The sequence below is a fragment of the Homo sapiens genome, chromosome 1 (genome assembly GCF_000001405.40).
Source record: "Homo sapiens chromosome 1, GRCh38.p14 Primary Assembly".
NCBI lineage: Eukaryota > Metazoa > Chordata > Mammalia > Primates > Hominidae > Homo > Homo sapiens.
The window spans coordinates 36,657,583-36,674,594 of record NC_000001.11 but is presented as its reverse complement, the minus strand read 5'-3'; the positions used below and the strand labels follow the sequence as shown (position 1 = coordinate 36,674,594).

At 49.7% G+C, this 17,012-nt stretch overlaps 1 annotated feature.

Moving 5' to 3' along the window:
- Nucleotides 8,808-8,857: an enhancer, noted in NCBI's record as "active region_760". NCBI's record gives its function as "activates an Ori minimal core promoter by ATAC-STARR-seq in GM12878 lymphoblastoid cells {active_cell/tissue: GM12878}" and the evidence as "EXISTENCE:reporter gene assay evidence [ECO:0000049][PMID:35858748]".

Here is a 17,012-nt window from a genome sequence, read left to right as displayed (position 1 = left end):
CCAGAGTTCCCAGCCTCTAATCACAGCCACTTACGCAGGACATGCAGCTACACAGCAGGGCATAGCTGGGGATATCTGAGTCTCACCTCCTTTTTTTTTTTTTTTTTTTTTGTTTGTTTTGTTTTTGGTGGAGTTTCGCTCTTGTCCCCTAGGCTAGAGTGCAGTGGTGCGATCTTGGCTCACTGCAACCTCCGCCTCCTGGGTTCAAGCGATTCTCCTGCCTCAGCCTCCCAGGTAGCTGGCATTACAGGCACCTGCCACCACGCCCAGCTAAATTTTGTATTTTTAGTAGAGATGGGGTTTCACCATGTTGGCCAGGCTGGTCTTGAACTCCTTGAGTCTCACTTCTAAGGAGCCCCCAAACCACTGGTCAAAGAGCAGTCAATGAGAACCTGCTCCTCCACCCCATGCTTTCCATAGCAAGCCTCTGGTCTCCTAGTTCAGGGTGAGGAGAGGGAATATAGCTTCTAAAGTGTTTCAGTTCAGATAGAGGATGACTGAAACCAAGCCTTTACATATATTAACATACCTGTCCCCATAATAACCCTGTGAGTAGATACTATCATTATCTCTACTTCACAAATGAGAAAACTGAGATATGGAGGAAACAAATGACTTGCCCAAGCCCACACAGCTGGCAAGTGCCAATGCTGGGATTTTAACCCAGTCTGTCTCCAGAGTTGATGAACGTAACCACTCATACTACCAAATTGCATGCACATGCACACACACACACCAACTACCACATGAGAACCCCTTTCCTCTGCAGCACTGCTATGACCAAACCTTTTCCAGTTTTTGTCTATGTGGTAGGTGAGCAGAGGCCATCTGTGGAAGATTGGTCCTGGTCTCAGTGTACACTGAGGGCTCACCTGGGCAAAGAACCCCCACCAAGGGTACAATTCCCAAGGCTTAGTGGTTCATCTACACGAGAGAAGGGGACAGAATGTTAGTGGTTCATCTACATGAGAGAAGGGGACAGAATGTTAGTGGTTCATCTACACGAGAGAAGGGGACAGAATGTTAGTGGTTCATCTACACGAGAGAAGGGGACAGAGTGTTAGCAGTTCATCTACATGAGAAAAGGGGACAGAATGTTCCTGCCCAGTTGGGTGGGGGTGGATTCTGCATCTGCAGAGAAAGGCCAGTTTTCCAGAGACCTGAGCTGGGAACAATAGATCATCTGCTCACTGGGATTAATGAGGCTTCCCCATGTTTGTGAAGAGGTGATTAAGGAGCTTGTAGCTGCTTCGCCTCCTGTCAATAGAACAAAAGCCTCCATAGCTGCTGTCTTCAGAGGCTTTGCGGGGAGGGGAGCACAGGCAATAAGGTTCAGGGGTGCACTTTGGTTTACTTTGTGCTTTCCCACGTGGGCACCTAATGCCGGGACATTTGTCCCACCTCTTCCCAATCTAGAATTCCTCCCTACTGCTGTCTGGGCACTCCACAAGTATTTGTTGAGTCCCTAACATGTATCAGTTACCATGCCAGGTATAGGGACACAGAGATAACCAGGAGAGAGACAACCCCTGCCTTCACAGACCCCACAGTCTGGCAGGAAGATAGACGTTAAATAAATACATATATGATGAGTTATTTAATTGCAAGTGTGATGAAGTGCTGCCCAGGAGAAGTACAGTGAACTGCAAATGCTTAAGGGCCAGGGATCCTGCCTCTCTAGAGGTCAGAGAAGGTTCCTGGGAGATGTAGGAGAGAGAGGTGAGGTCTCAGCCAGGTATCTTAGGAAGGTAGACTTGACAGAACTCGACAACGGATGATATGTCAGAGGCAAAGATGAGATTTCTGACCCCAGAAATATGATGAACTGTCCCACTAGCCTGCGTACAGAGCACAAATGGCAGAGCAGGTTAGGAGGAGGCAGGACGGTGGGTCTGGGCACCCCACAAAGCACCCAGTGGAAAGTTGTCTAGATGGGCCTGGGGCACAGAAGCTAGGTCTGGGCTGAAGACACAGATCTGGAAGGCAAGGTAGAGGTCACACAGGAGTTAATGTTGTATGGCTAGGTGTCATTTCCAAAGAAGAGGGCCAAGACCAAACCCTGAGGGGAGCTGCCGGAAGCAGAGAAAGGGACTAACAAGAGAGGTGGGGGAAATCTGGACAAAGTAGACATTTCAAAGCAGGGGAAGAGAGAGGCAGCAGAACAAAGCAGTTGACAGTGTCAGCTCCTGCCAAGAGATCTAGTAAGATAAGGACCGAGACGTGTCATTGGAATTGGTAAGTGGGTCACTGGTATCCTTGACAAGAGTGGTTTAGTGGAGACGGAAGCCGAAATGGAGCTGGTGAGGACAGCAAGCACGGTGAGGAAGCAGGAAAGGAGCGTTGCTGGGAAATGGGGAAGAAAATGGGGCAATCGCTGAGGAAGTATTTAAAGGGCTTTCCAGTTGGGAAAAGTGTGAGCAAATATGCAGACTGAGGGCTTAATGCAGAGTTGGAGAAAGAGGAGAGATGTTGAATGAATGAGTAAATGAACAAAGAAAGTAAGACGTACGAAGCTAATTGATGGAGAAGGGTCTTGGAGCCAGTTGAAGGCATTATGATTTAGGGCACTCTGGAGGGGTGGAAGGATGTGACAAGAGGATGGAGCCCCTCCCTCTGAGGTAGGATTGGGGAGGACACTGACAGAGATGGATGGAAATCTAGGGAACCCACATCTGATGACTTTGATCTACCCAGTAGAGGGCAAGTTGAGGTTGTCTGCAGAGCATGACTGGTATAAGGAGGATGGAGGTGGGGGAGGGTGGAAAGGTTTGGTGAGGGCAACTGGGAGATGTGATAGGCTGACAGAGATGGGTATAATGACAGCCAAGGAGCAGTGAGGGCCCAGGTGGCGTTGGAAATCATTCTCATTGCCCACAACAACTACAATAGCTCCCATCTGTTGAGTGTCTGCCTATAAGTTACTTCATTCTCTTAAGAGTCCAGTGACAGGGGCCCCATTATCCCTTATGTGCAGACAAAGATACTGAGATTCAAAGGAATTGAGTAACTTGTCCAAGGTCACGCAGCTGCTAAGGAGCTGGTATTTGAACATGAGTCTGTAAGTGCCGAACCCCATGATCTTTTCACTGACCTGGGAACCATACTCTATAATTATCCTCAGCACCACTTGGCAGTCCTAGAGTGCAAGGAGAGGCAGCAGGTGTAGAGTCTGCTTAGGGCCAGGGACTGTGCTGGCCAGTGATGTCATGGGACCAGGAAACCGGAGGACCCGTGAGATCAGGAGAGGATGGCTGCCCAGGGGCTCTGGGCCAGTGGGGCAGCAGGGGATGTGCTGCTGGATCGCGAGGGACTATGAGAGCAGGGGTTACCAGAAGGGCCTTTGGCCACATGGACAGTCATGCAAAGGATGGGAAGGAAGGAGAAAGAAGCAATCAGCACCAAAAACCTTGGAGACAGGATCAAAGCATGTCACACTATAAAACTGAGGCAAACAGACTTGACGCAAGGGGAGGAATTCAGACAACCATTTCATGGCTCAGACAGATTTGGGGTCTGATACCACTCCGTCACCTTCCTGTCTCTGTAATAGTGGTCAACTTGCTTAAGTTCTCTGGGAATGTAAAATGTTTTCTCCCATCTATACAATGGTATCAATAACCCCTACCATATCCTATACCTAGAAAGTAGAACCTTTCAAAGGCTTCCCATCCAAACTCCCGACCATGCCTTGACAGATGCTGCATAAACTGGCCCTGCCCACCTGTCCAGCCTCATCCTAATCCCCAGTCCCCAAGGCTCCCTCAGCTTCCATGGGTCAGTTTAGTCAGGGCCACAATAATGCCCCAAACTCAGTGGCTTACAAGCATGTCTGTGGGTTCGCTGGGGTTTTGCTCATCTAGTCTGGGCTTGGCTGATCTTGGCTCCTGGCCACCAGTTGAGTTCAGGTCTCCTATGCATGTCTCTCATTCTTCAGTGACCAATGTGCCACTGGGGCATCCTGGGACATCTCCTTCTCTGAGCAATAGCAGAGCACAGGACCACAGACCCAACCACACAGGAACAATCCAAGTTTCTACAATTCAAGGTGTCTCCCAACATCTCATTAATCAAAACAAGTCACATGGTCAAGCCCTAATTAAAACCATGGAGAAGTGTGCTCCTGCTAACGTAAGGCCATGGCAAGTATGTGGGTGTGGAATGCAACAACAGGGGAGTGATGAGTTGGCATCAACAATTCCACCAAACAAATCCAGTCATCTTGGTCTCTGTCCGTCCCCACATCCAGCTGTTGCCCCTTTAGAGCTTTGATCCAACTGTTCCCTCTGCCTGGAATGCCCTCTCCCACCTCCTCCACTCGTCACTTGGCTGGCTTCTTTTTATCTTTTGAGCCCCAACTTAAGCATTATCCCTTTTAACAGGCTGGGAAATGTAGTCTTCCAATTTACCCAGGGAGAGAATGAAATAGGATTTGATGAACATATCCCATTGTCTCTGCCACAGCCCTCTGATCATATAGAACAGGGGCCTCCATCCGCTGAATAAAAAACAGCCACCAAAAATGGAGAGAGGATGAGGCAGAGCCCCCAAGAAAAAAGTCTGGAAGTTAAAGACCAAGAAACACAGCCGTGAGAAACAAAGGCAGGGGGCGGGGGGGTGCGGGGACAACGGGAGGATGCTCAGAATGTAGAGTGACAGACACAGGCCAAGGGAGGCCCAGAAAGAGAGAGCAGCCAAGAAAGGGTAACAGAGCAAGTGGCAGAGGCCACTGCAGACAGAGAAATAAGACTCAAGGGGCTGTCGGAGAGAGGACGAGCGAGCGCTTCCTCGCACAAACGTGGCGTCTGCAGCTTCCTCCTTGCTGTTTCATTCCCCTCAGCCTGTCACCCACACACAGCTACAGAATCCAAAATCTAATTTGGCCTTTGTCAGCTCCATAAATGGTGTTCTTTAGGGGTAATTCCCTGGTAAATGGACAGAAATTCTAAATTGGAAATCCGCATTGGCCGTCCGGGACCCGTTCTCCTGAACTCCGGGCATGAGAATGCAGTGGACAGGTCATCCTGCGAGCTCTAATGCTGGTGACAAATGGGAAGGTGCCTTTACTGCTTAGGCAGCGACTTCAGACAGCCCAACCGCTGCTGGCCTGGGAGGTCTAATCAGCTCAGTTCTGGCCCCCACTGCCCCCACCCCACACCTCATTACTGCAGCAGGGAAATAACTAGGCCCCAGGAGGACAAGAACCTGGAACTAATTATTAGAGCAGGGGAAGGGAGGAATGTGGCCTTCAAGGGGCTTGGGGGTTCGGACAAGGCACTTCCTGCTCTCTCTTCCTGGGGCTGGGGCAACAACCTCAGCACCACTGCTCACTCTCTGACCCAGTCCTCACCAGCTGCCAGAAAAAAAATCTCCAACGTGTAGAGGCCCTTTCTGTTCAAGTCTTGATAGCAGACACCTTTCAGCTCAGTGTCACCTCCTATCGGCCCACATCTGACGGCTGTGAAGGGCAGCTGTCTGCAAGCTCCGACTCATCTTGCACTGAAGAGTTCCACCTCAAAGAGCCATTCTGGATGTCTTTCTACGTCTGCCCCAAAACCTTCCAGGAGCCTGGGAAATAGCATGGTTGTAGGGAAAGTTCAATTTATGCAAGAAAGAGCCAGGTGCAATGGCTCACACCTGTAATCCCAGCACTTTGGGAGGCCAAGATGGAAGGTTCGCTTGAGCCCAGGAGTTTGAGACCAGCCTGGGCAACAAAGTGAGACCCTGTCTCTACAAAAAATATATAAAAAATTAGCCAGCGTGGTGGCATCCACCTGTGGTCCCAGCTACTCAGGAGGCTGAGCCAGGAAGATCACTTGAGGCGTGATCATGCCAGTAAACTCCAGCGACAGAGCCAGACTCTGTCTCAAAACCGGGTGACAGAGCCAGGCCCTATCTCAAAAAGAAAAAAAAACAGAAGAAGAAAGAAATGCAAGAAAGCTAGCACCCCCAGGGGCATCCTTCAACCAATGGGGTTGGGAGTTGATGGAGAAATGCCTCAGCTCTCAGTGTTTCGGGCAGAGATTCTGGGGCATTCCCAGGAGATTTGGTGGGATCATAATCCCATAATGCCCAGAAACAACCCCAACAGCTTACTCGTACATTGGCTTCTCCTCCTCCCTGTCTCACCTCCCTGCTCCCTCATTCCTGCTTCCTGGGGTCAGGTAAATCACCTGGACCCAGGTCCTTGTCTCAGGCTTTACGTTCAGTGTTTTTCACGCTGTATTCCTCGGAACCCCAGGGCACCTTAGGATGTGTCTACCCCTCTCTCACCTGCATTTGATTTAATGCTCTGTTGTCATCATCTTGAAATGTTTAATAAATTTTGAACAAGGGGCCGCATATTTTCATTTTGCATTGTACCCACAAATGACATAGCTGGTCATCCTCTGAATTTCTAGCACTTTGTACCAAGCCTGGCACTTGGACTCAGTCGAATTGAATTGAACTGAGCTTTGAGCCTCTGTCCCTCCCTCTCTCCTCTCTTGCTCCTAGCTCCTACCCTGCTTCCCTCCTGACCTGGGTCTTAAAGGTTGCAAACAGCAACAAGAGCAGCTCCTCTGTTTCTCCCCTGGGGCAGAAAGGAGCGGGAGCCTGTGGCCTGTGTACTTGATAGTCCCAAGACCCCCTCAATGAGAGTCCATCCCTTACCAGATCAGAGATTCCCCACGTCACAGCTCCCTATGAGGAAACCATACGTTTTCCTTTTTAAATGTCATTACACAGTTCTCATTATATTTTAAAAAGCTTAAGTCTGACATAATTTGGCATTGCCCTAACTCTAAACCCTGGTAACAGAGAGCAATGTTCCACAGAGAAGAGGTCACATAAGCCAAAGTATTACAGAGACATGAGGTCAATGGATGACCTCAAGAATTAGAAGCAAACAGATTTTAGACAAGATATAGCTCCAAAGGTGGCAGAGTTTGGCCAGAAGAAGGGGTCAGGGTGAGAAAATGCTTTTCTTAATTGGAAAAAAAGACAGCCCTAGGAAAATATGCATACACGTAGCATGATCTCTCTCTCTATTGAGTTTCTCTGTGAAAAGGAGAAGATGTAGGGGCTGCAAGCACAGACAAAGGGGACCAGGGGATTTGCAGAAAGCAATCACAGATAAGGTTCTTTCCCTGTGGCAGTTAAAGCCGCAGAAAGGAAAAGTATCAGGGTTTAACACCTCATCCAGCTGACCAGAGGTCTCAGGGGGCTCACAGAAGCCTCCAAGAAGCCAAAATTAAATTGCTCTGAGAATGAGAGAAGTTAACAGTCAATGTAAAATTAAGCTTAATTATTAGCAGTTAAGGGCTAATGAGGATGCCCGATTTACCTAAATGTTGGGCTATTTCTACATCTTGCTCTAAATTAGCTATCACTTTTTATATGTAGTCATTAATTAGATTAGCTCATTATACTTTGTTATTTAATAAATTCTACTACACACGCATTCTATATGTCTATAGGTTATATATGTAATATGTATTGCATACATATATTTTGGTTTCTGTCTTCTGTTTTTGCAATGCATGTATTTGAGAAAACATTAAAGGTCCACAATTATCCACAACCATGGAGAGGCTCTTTGTTCAAGGTGACTCTAGCCCAGACACTACAGTTCACATAATGGCAGCTATCCAGATTGTATGCATGATGACCTGAAAGACTAGAACAGCTTCTAATGGGGGAGGTGGGCATGAAAAGACAGAGGAAAAGGGAAAGGCACTGATCCCGGGCTGGAGGGGAGCATGAGGTAGTCATCAGGGATGATGCTTCATGGTTGGTTGTGGAGGGTTCTTGGCGGCCAAAGAGTTTCCAGTGACTACGAGGGATCAGAGGCAAAGAAGCCATCTGGAACCTAAAGAGCCTTCCTTCTCCTGGGCCCAGGGGCCAGAGTAGGGGCCCTGGCTGAGCAGCAGGGAAAAGGGAAATGGTGAGATCCCAGAGCCCAGGCCCAGCATAGGGGAACTGCATCTCCAGGAGGATTCTGAGGAGCCAGAGGGAGGAGAGGTACAGGGAGGACTCCTGGAAGGGGCAGGAAAATGGCCTAAGCCAGGCCAGGGGGAGGCAGGAGTTGGAGGAAACTAAGTTCCTACTGACTTCGATCAGTCAAAGTGTGTTCCCAGGCTTGGTGTGGATAGACAGGGAGGCCCCTTAGCCATCAGGTGAAAGAGAGTGGATAACACACCTGACCCAGTGAGGCCCTCGCTCAAGGCACCCAACCTCCCATGCTGTCCACATCCAATAGTAGATCTAATCCCAGCCACAACCAAAGCCACCAAAGTGCAAAGTTTTGGGGGCACCTGGCTTCCTGGGTGGACACTACTATCCAACCTGAACTTGAGTCACTCATGTAGTGGCTCATTTTTGAATTTCAGTGAAGATGACTCTCTTGACTTGATCCCTGAACTGGGTGGGAAGCACAATGGTTGGCAGCTTTGAGTGGTTGACAGGCAGCAGAGGAACCCAGAGGAGGAGGAGAAGAGTCTAGGTACCAACCGTGGAAGTATCTTGGAGCAGGGGCCTTGTCCCACCTGGCATCCCAGCACGAAACCTCCCACGGAGGTGTCCCTGGTTACAGGAGGCCCCACGAACTAGACCAAAATTGTCAATGTGTGTTTGGGTCAAATGGAGTGAGCCAAGGGAAAGGCAGCCTCTTCCCAGCCTCTAAGCATAGCTGGTCTGCATGTACCTCAGAGTCCCGGCCTGGGGGAATCACAGCCCTGGCACCCATCACAGAGAGCCAGACCATGAGGGTCCACACCTGGATGGCTGAAGCACTTCTGCCAGGTTCCCAGATCCCTCCCAGAGGCTTATCCCTCGGCCACCACCACTGCTGCCATCTCCAGTCACTGCACCTTCGACCCTTTCCCCACACTCAGTGCGAGGTGCATGTCTTGCCTGTGGTTCCACTAAGCGTTTCGGTTCCTTTCTTGGCAGCCTTTCCAAGTGCTGAAGCCCCACCCACAGCAGTGTTACTCTCCCCAGAATGACCAGAGTGCAGGGGAGGGACTTGAAGGCCCCTAGTGAGGCACTTAGGCCAGCCCTGACCTGCCTGTGTTCCTCCAAAAGATGAGGGGGCTACACCAGGAGACCTCTAAGCAGCCTGTGCTCTGGCCAGACCTGCAGCAGGCTGGAGGCAGGAGGCTGCTTCATTGGCTGCGCTATGCTCTGGGAGCCCAAGGGCCAGGTACCCAGGCAGATGCATGGGCAAGTAGGACAGTCCACAGCCAGCATGGACGAACCCTGAGCTGGCCTAACCTACCCCATCCAACACCCCCTCGCCAGCTCTCAAGGCAGCCTGGGGGCAGATTCTAGAAAGTATCTTCTCCATCAATCCAAGGGCCATTTCAAGACCCAAGAACACAGGCTGGAGTCAGACCCGAGTTTAAGTTCTGTCTCCGCCACTTCGTAGTTGTATTATCTTGAGCAGGTTATTGCACCTGGCCACTATCAGTTTCCACATCTGTGCACTTAGCACAGTAGTTGGTAGAGAAGAAATCATCTATCATAGTGGCTCAAAGGTGAGGGGGAGAAACAGGAAGTGGGGAGAGATTCAAAGATACCCAGAAATGAGCATCCTGAGGACAGAGGCCTCAGACAGCAATTTAAGCCCCCAAGACTGAGGCAGAGGTGGGTTTGCCAAGGAGGAGGCAGCAGGAAGTTTTTGGGAGGAGACAGCAGACTGGGGAGCAAGTCAGTTCTCACGGCCGCTGAATAATTCACAGGGCAGCCGGGATGGCATATGCTTCCTCTAAGCCCTCAGCAGCAGGAATGCCAGCCTCCCTCCCTCTCCCACACTCCCCACTCCTGTCGTCACCCAGGAAACCAGCTACCTCCTCACGAAGGAAAGGCCACCCGGGGTCAGAGAACAGGGCAATGGAGGGGGAAATGAAAGCAGAGTCATGTCCCCCAACCTGCCAGGCAGGTCCCAGTGGTGAGAAAGTCAGTTCTGCTGACGCTGCCAGGCGACAAGGCAGGAAAGCCTAGGTAAGGAAGAGGCAGAGATGCTGGGGACCCTCCCTCCTCAAAGCCACCAGAGATGCTACAAAATGAAATAATAACGGTACAGATGCAGGGATTGAGGACAGTGAGAGCCCAGAATTGAGGCCTATTTGGACACATCCAGGGACAAAGGTGTGTTCAGGGATGTTGGTCTGTTTGATCTTGGCTCCCTTCCACCCCTTGTGTCTGGCTTCCCCCTGGAGCTGGCTTTCTCCTTCACCTAGAGCTTGGCTCTAGCCCCTTGGAGAGCCAAGTCATCTCTTAAGCTTAGAGTAGGTTTTCGAGAATAGATCCTGCCTGGCTCACCCCTGGCACACATCCTGCGTCATCCTTGGCCTTTTATAGACTAACACAGGCAGCCCCTGGCCCAGGGATTCAGTACCTCCTCTGTGTCACTCCCTTCCAGCCACCCTCCCCATGGTCCCAGGGCCCTACCTACTACCTGAGGCCTGGCTTCCCTTGTCTTGCATCCTCACACTGCTTCCCAGGGCCCAAGACCCCTGCCTTGTCCCTACGCTAGTTCCTGTAGGGTCCCTAGGTACCCTCATGTTCTCAGCTTACTTCTTAATGCTGAAGGAAACCACAGTTGCCTCACACAGTAAACAACACTAAATCCAAGGAACAGAAACTTCTGTGGCCTGGACAGTGCTGATGACAGGAGTCGATCTTTATTAATAAGTGAACTGAGGTTCAACTCTTCATGCATCTGAGAACAGCCAGTTACTGGTTGTAGAACCTTGCGCAAGTGGCTTAACCGCTCTGATCCTCAGTTTCCTCACTGTGAAATGAGGATATTTTAAGGATTAAGTGAAAAGGGAATATAGCAGGCACCTAATAAGTCATAGATGTGTTGTTTAGTAGTATTGCTAATATTAAATATGTCACTTTATTGTGTACAACATACACGCATGTGTGTGCTTATGCGTTCATCATTCTTCCTGGTTCACTGATATTGCTTTCTTTCTTTCTTTTTTTTTTTTTTTTTTTTTTTTGAAATGAGTCTCGCTCTGTCACCAGGTTGGAGTGCAGTGGTGCCATCTTGGCTCACTGCAACCTCCACCTCCCGGATTCAAGCAATTCTCCTGCCTCAGCCTCCTGAGTAGCTGGAACTACAGGCACGCGCCACCACGTCCAGCTAATTTTTGTATTTTTAGTAGAGACAGGGTTTCACCATGTTGGCCAGGATGATCTCGATCTCTTGACCTCGTGATCTGCCCACCTGGGCCTCCCAAAGTGCTGGGATTACAGGCGTGAGCCACCGCGCCCAGCCACTGATATTGTTTTCTGCTCATCTCAGTGGAGCTCATGCTTAAAGTGCAGCTGCACAGAGTTCCATTTATTACAAAGCCTAAAACATTGAAAACTTCATTCAATTAGCAAATTTATCATTATTGTCTGAGCAAGCTATAATTTTTTATTGAATTTGCCAAACATGATAATTTTATTGAGCAAACCAAATTACATAAGGTTGCATTTGCACTCCTAAATTAAGAGAGTGACTTTAGATATGAAAAGGGTGCTACAAAAATAAGTATTGCATATGTTTCAAAATTTCCCAAACTTTCTACTTTTCCCTATAAAGAAAAATAAATGGTTTGGGTTATTCTTTTTTAACCCAAGCTTTTCAAGTTCCCAAAAATGTTGTATTTCTCAGCCCCGTAAGGTGAGGAAAATATGCCAGGAGCACAGGATTGCATTTCTAGGACACCCTCAAGCTTGGCAGCCCCATCTCTGAGTCATCCTACCCATTGCTGAACTGTGTGGGGTTGAGCTAGAAGCCCTAGTCCCCTCACCCCCAGGACAGGACCTCACAAAAGAAGCCAAATTTTGCCTGGCTCCTGCCTCAGGCTGGCCCTGGTCTTGCCTCCCAGTCTTCAGTTCTAAGCCTTTTCCTGTTGTTGTCCCTTCTCACATCAACTGTAGTTGGGTGAATGGATGTTCCCCAAAAAGAGATACTGAAGTCCTAACTCCCAGCACCTGTGAATGTGGCTGTATTTGGAAATAGGGTGTTTACAGATGTAATCAAGTTAAGATTAAGTCATACTAGATTAGGGTGGACCCTAAATCCAAAGACTGTATCCTTATAAGGAAAGGAAGATTGAGAGAGAGAAAGAGGCACTCACTCACAGGGAAGAAGGCTAGGAGAAGACAGAGGCAGACACTCGAGTAATGCAGCTACAAGCCAAGGAATGACAAGGGCTGCTGGGAGTGACCAGAAGCCAGGAAGAAGCAAGGACAGATTCTTCCCTAGATCCCTCCAAGGGAGCATGACCTTGATGACACTGATTGCAGACTTCCAGCCTCCAGGACTGTGAGAGAATAAGAGTGTGTATGTGTGTGTGTGTGTGTGTGTGTGTGTGTGTGTGTGTAAGCCACCTGGTTTGTGGTCATTTGTTACAGCAATCCTAGGAAACTAACACACCAGCCAACCCCCAAGGAAGGCAGGCAAGCATGACTTCCCCTCCATTACTGATGGACAAACAGAGGCTGGGAGGCTGGGCACATCCTCCAGAGAAGACTTCAACCCAGGTCCACTAATCACCTTGGGGGAGATGACAGAAGCAATAGACTTCAATCAAAAGAGCAGAGTTTAAGTTCTGCTCTTTCTGCTGATTTGCTATGATCGAGAGAAAGCCACATCCCCTCTTAGAGCCTTGAAATTTAGGCTAAATAACCTCCCTCTTACCTAGCCTAGGATTCCACCGGACAAACAATGGAAGCCCCAGGATCCACTGCCCTTAGCCTAGGGGTTCTACCCTTCCACCTAACATATACAGAGAAAGATCCAGGTGGACTGGTGGGTGGAGAAGAGGTCTGTGGAATGGGTATACCCATCAGAATTTCCCCAGGAACCAGTCTAGAGACAGAGAGGCATGCAGGGAGTTCTGTGCACTGGCCTGAAAAGCCCGCTGAGGGTGGTGGCTCATGCCTGTTATCCCAGCACTTCGGGAGGCCGAGGCGGGCAGATCACTTGAGGTCAGGAGTTCATGAGCAGCGTGGGCAACATGGTGAAACCTGTCTCTACAAAAACTATAAAAATTGGCCAGGCGTGGTGGCTCGCACCTCTGGTTCCAGCTACTCGGGAGGCTGAGGTGGGAGGGGTGCTTGAGCCTGGGAGATTGAGGCTGCAGTGAGCCATGATCTTGCTCCTGTACTCCAGTCTGGGTAACAGGAGAAGGCCCCAAAGGCACACTTATCCATGCAAGAAGCAGGAGGTTGGGTGATAAAGCCCAGAGGAGTCAAGCAACTTGTCCAAGGACACAAAGTGGGAATGTGGCTAGGTCCTCCTGCCAGACCTCTAGCTGAACACTCTCAGATCTTGCAGAGAATCTTCCACACACTCACCTGCACACTAAGTGGTTGGAGACTCACTCCCCAAGGTGCCAATTTTCTTACCATGGTAACAAAACCAACAAAGAATTAATCTGCATGTTATTATTATCATGCACAGAGACCAATCTAAAAATGTCAGTGATAAAATACATCTACCTCCGAAGTAGACCACTCCCCTGCTGCCCTCCTTCACCAAGCCACTGCTGCAGGTATGCTGATCTTTTCTCTGTTCCTAGTTCACCTCTGCCTCAGGGCCTTTGGACCTCTAGAGCTGGCTCCCTGTCTGATTCAACCACTGCCTCTCCAGTAATGCACTCTCTGACCACTCAGCTTAAATTAGCCACCACTCTGCTCCTACCCAGTTTCCAATGCATCGCCCTGCAATGTTTTCTTCATGGCACTTTCATCTCTTTAAAATCATCTTGTTTGTTCTGTCTCTCCCTCCACTAGAATGTAAGCTCATGCGGGCAGGGATTTTTGTCTGCTTTTGTTTACTGCAGTACCCCAGTACCTTATCCTTAAACAACAGTTTGCATATAGGAAGCCCAAATAAATATTTGTTAAATGAATGAATTACTCTCTCTGCCAGGCTTTGTCAGGGCTACAGGGACACATTAGACATGGTCTTGAGCTCCCAGACAGTGGGTGAAGCTGACAAAGACACCGATCATTATGGCACCCCATCATGCATGCTCTGGCAGAGAAAAGAATGAGGTGATGCAGGGCTCAGAGGAGGGAGCAGGCTCTACTGGGATGGGGTCAGGACAGCTTCACCAAGAAGAAGACCAATGAATGGACCTTAAAGGATAAATAGCAGCTCCCTGGACCCAGTGTGGTTTCCCACAGTGTATGCCATGCAAAAAATGGTTGGCCTTGCACTGGAAGGAGATGAGGAGCCACCAAGAGTTTCAAGCAGAGGGGTCATAGCAGGATTAGATTTGCACTTCAGAGCCGTCTTTCTGGTTGCTGTGAACGCAGGATGGTTTGGAGAGAACTGCCAAGGGTCTGCAGTAACAACCCAAGTAAGAGATGATGAGGCCGGGACTGGGGTGTGTTGTCTGGAATGGAAAGGAAGGGACAGATTCAGTTGAACGTGTGGCCTGTTAGACATTGGAGAGAGTGAATGGGAAGGGGAAGAAGTCTAGATAACAGGGCAGAGCTGATGGCATCATGTCCAGGAGCCTAGTGGGATGAAGGTGGGCCCCAGGCTCAGACGTATCCCGATGGGCCCTTGATTTGACTCATGCAGGTGTGTCAGAACATCACATCTCATCATCTTCCCAGCTTCCAAGCTGGGCAATTTGGGAACATAATCTTCAGGCCGACATGGGAAAGGAGAGAGGGGTTTTGCTTTTGGCAACCCTCAGCCCAGGGGACTGGGTCTGAGAAGTTACCATGGAGGTCACTGGTGAGGCGCCAGGAGCAGCTCACCATGGAGGGTGGGAACAGAAGGGCAGAAGATGCCATGAAAATGAGTGCAGTTTGCCTGTGAAGGAGAAGAGGATGGAGAGGATGAGGGAGAAACTTTGATGCATTTTTGGACTAAGGGAAAGAAACAATAGAGAGGAAAGAACTTGTGGCACCTCAGGGAAGTCTGTGGAGAAACGGATGGGAAGGGATACAAGGCAAAGGTGGGGATACTTGTCTCGGACAGAAGGAAACAAAAAATATGAGAACAAAGAGATGAACTGTGTCTGGGTGAGAAAGAGCACAGCATTAAGGCACATTCCCAACTAACAGCCTCTTTTTCTAAGGAAGCTGGAGGGGGGTGTGTCTTCTGAGAGTCAGCGGAAAAGCAGGGACCAGGGGGTTCGGGAAGGTCAAGGTGGTTGGTGCAGCCAGTGAGAAGAATGGGCTGCCGGGAGGAGGCAGAAGGGCTCTGATGGTGGAGGTCCTGAGTAAGTGAATCCTCCACCAGTGCCCAGGGACCCAGGGTACAGGGTAAAGGAGGTATTGCTGGATTGATCTAGGCTTGGTCCTCTGTCCTACAACCATGCTTGGACTTGTCGGGATGTTTGTCCCGATTTTTGAATGGGAAAATCTGTTGCCTGCTGTATCAGTTAGGGTCTCAGCAGGAAACAGATGGCACACTCAAATTGGGTAATTGAAGGAGAGTTTATGAAGGGTCTATTTACAAAGGTGTGGGCAGCGTGTAGGGGAGCCATGGGTTACTGCAGCTCCCTCAGGCTTGTATGGGGAAAGGGGATCATGACTCTGCTGCCACCCTGGGGCTGAAGGAGCAAGGGGACAGATGGCCATGGAACCCAGAGAGAGCCTCGTGGAGAAGGCTGGCCATGGAGACTGAGACCTTTAGTCAGCCAGCAGGGAGGAGCCGGGAAATAACTACCCCAACCCCCATTTCCTCCCTCCCTCCAATCTCCTGCTAGGCTCCCTATTGGCTGAACCCCACAGAAAACCAGAGGGCAAAGGAGCTCATTGTCAGGGCCAGACAGGTCAGCAGGGTGGACGGACCAGAGCAGAGTTGGTGGGGGCAGAGAATGGGTCCAGAGGGGCAAACAGAAGGCACCAATCAAACCCAGCTCTAGGGATCCCTGCCTTCAGAGCCACTGTCCTTCCTGTGCAAGAGGGAACAGACCAGTCCTTGGGGCCCCAAAGGCTCAAAGGAGGAAGGTATGTTTTTGTGTGTGTCAGGAGGGAAGGGTGGAGTGACAGGGAGAGGAGAGGCTTCTCATCTTCTCTTCAGTATCATAACCTGTCCCCTCTCCCTGCCCTCCCCAGCACCTGATTTCTAAAGTGGAGGCACTCCTGTTTAGAAAGAGGTGGTGATCAGATTCTGTGATTAGGAAGTTAGGGTGGGAGCCAGAGAGAGAGAAAAATAAAATGCTATAGGGGGTCAGAACCTCTGGGGTTCAGCAGACAGCCAGATGGACAGGCAGATGGACCAGGGCCACCCCCCACTGACCCCTGCCTTGCTTCTTGTTCCATCGAGTACAATTGAGTCAAAGGTGCTAATAGATCCCTGAGAAAGATAGATGGAGTAATCAGGGTAAATGAAATTAACATGCACAGGGTAATCAACACTCATTAAGCCAATTTAGTCAAGTGATGACCTCAGTCAGCTTTTATTTAATCATATACTTAAATGTCAAATCAATATGCAAATTTCACCCAGGCCTTTTCCAATTATAACCCATTAAAAACTTTCCAGTAAATCAATGCCATCAGGCAGGGCGAGGACGGCGAGGCAGCGAGAGCAAGCTGCCCAGATGACTGGACAGTGGGCCTTTTGTCTACAGCAGTCCCTCTCCCCTTAGGCCCTTTTCCTAGCCCCCACCTTCTACCATCAAAACTCATCCAACCAGGCTGGGCATAGTGGCTCATGCCTATAATCCCAGCACTTTGGGAGGCCGAGGCGAGTGGAACACCTGAGGTCAGGAGTTCCAGATCAGCCTGGCCAACATGGTGAAACTCTGTCTCTACTAAAAATACAAAAATTAGCCAGGAATGGTGGCAAGTGCCTGTAATCCCAGCTACTTGGGAGGCTGAGGTAGGAGAATTGCTCGAATCCGGGAGGCAGAGGTTGCAGTGAGCTGAGATTGCACCACTTTACTCCAGCCTATGCAACAAGAGCGAAACTCCATCTTAAAAAAAAAAAAACCTCACCCATCCTATGTCCCCTCGCCACCACCACTATGACTCTAAGGAAAAGCAGGCCACAGACCCAA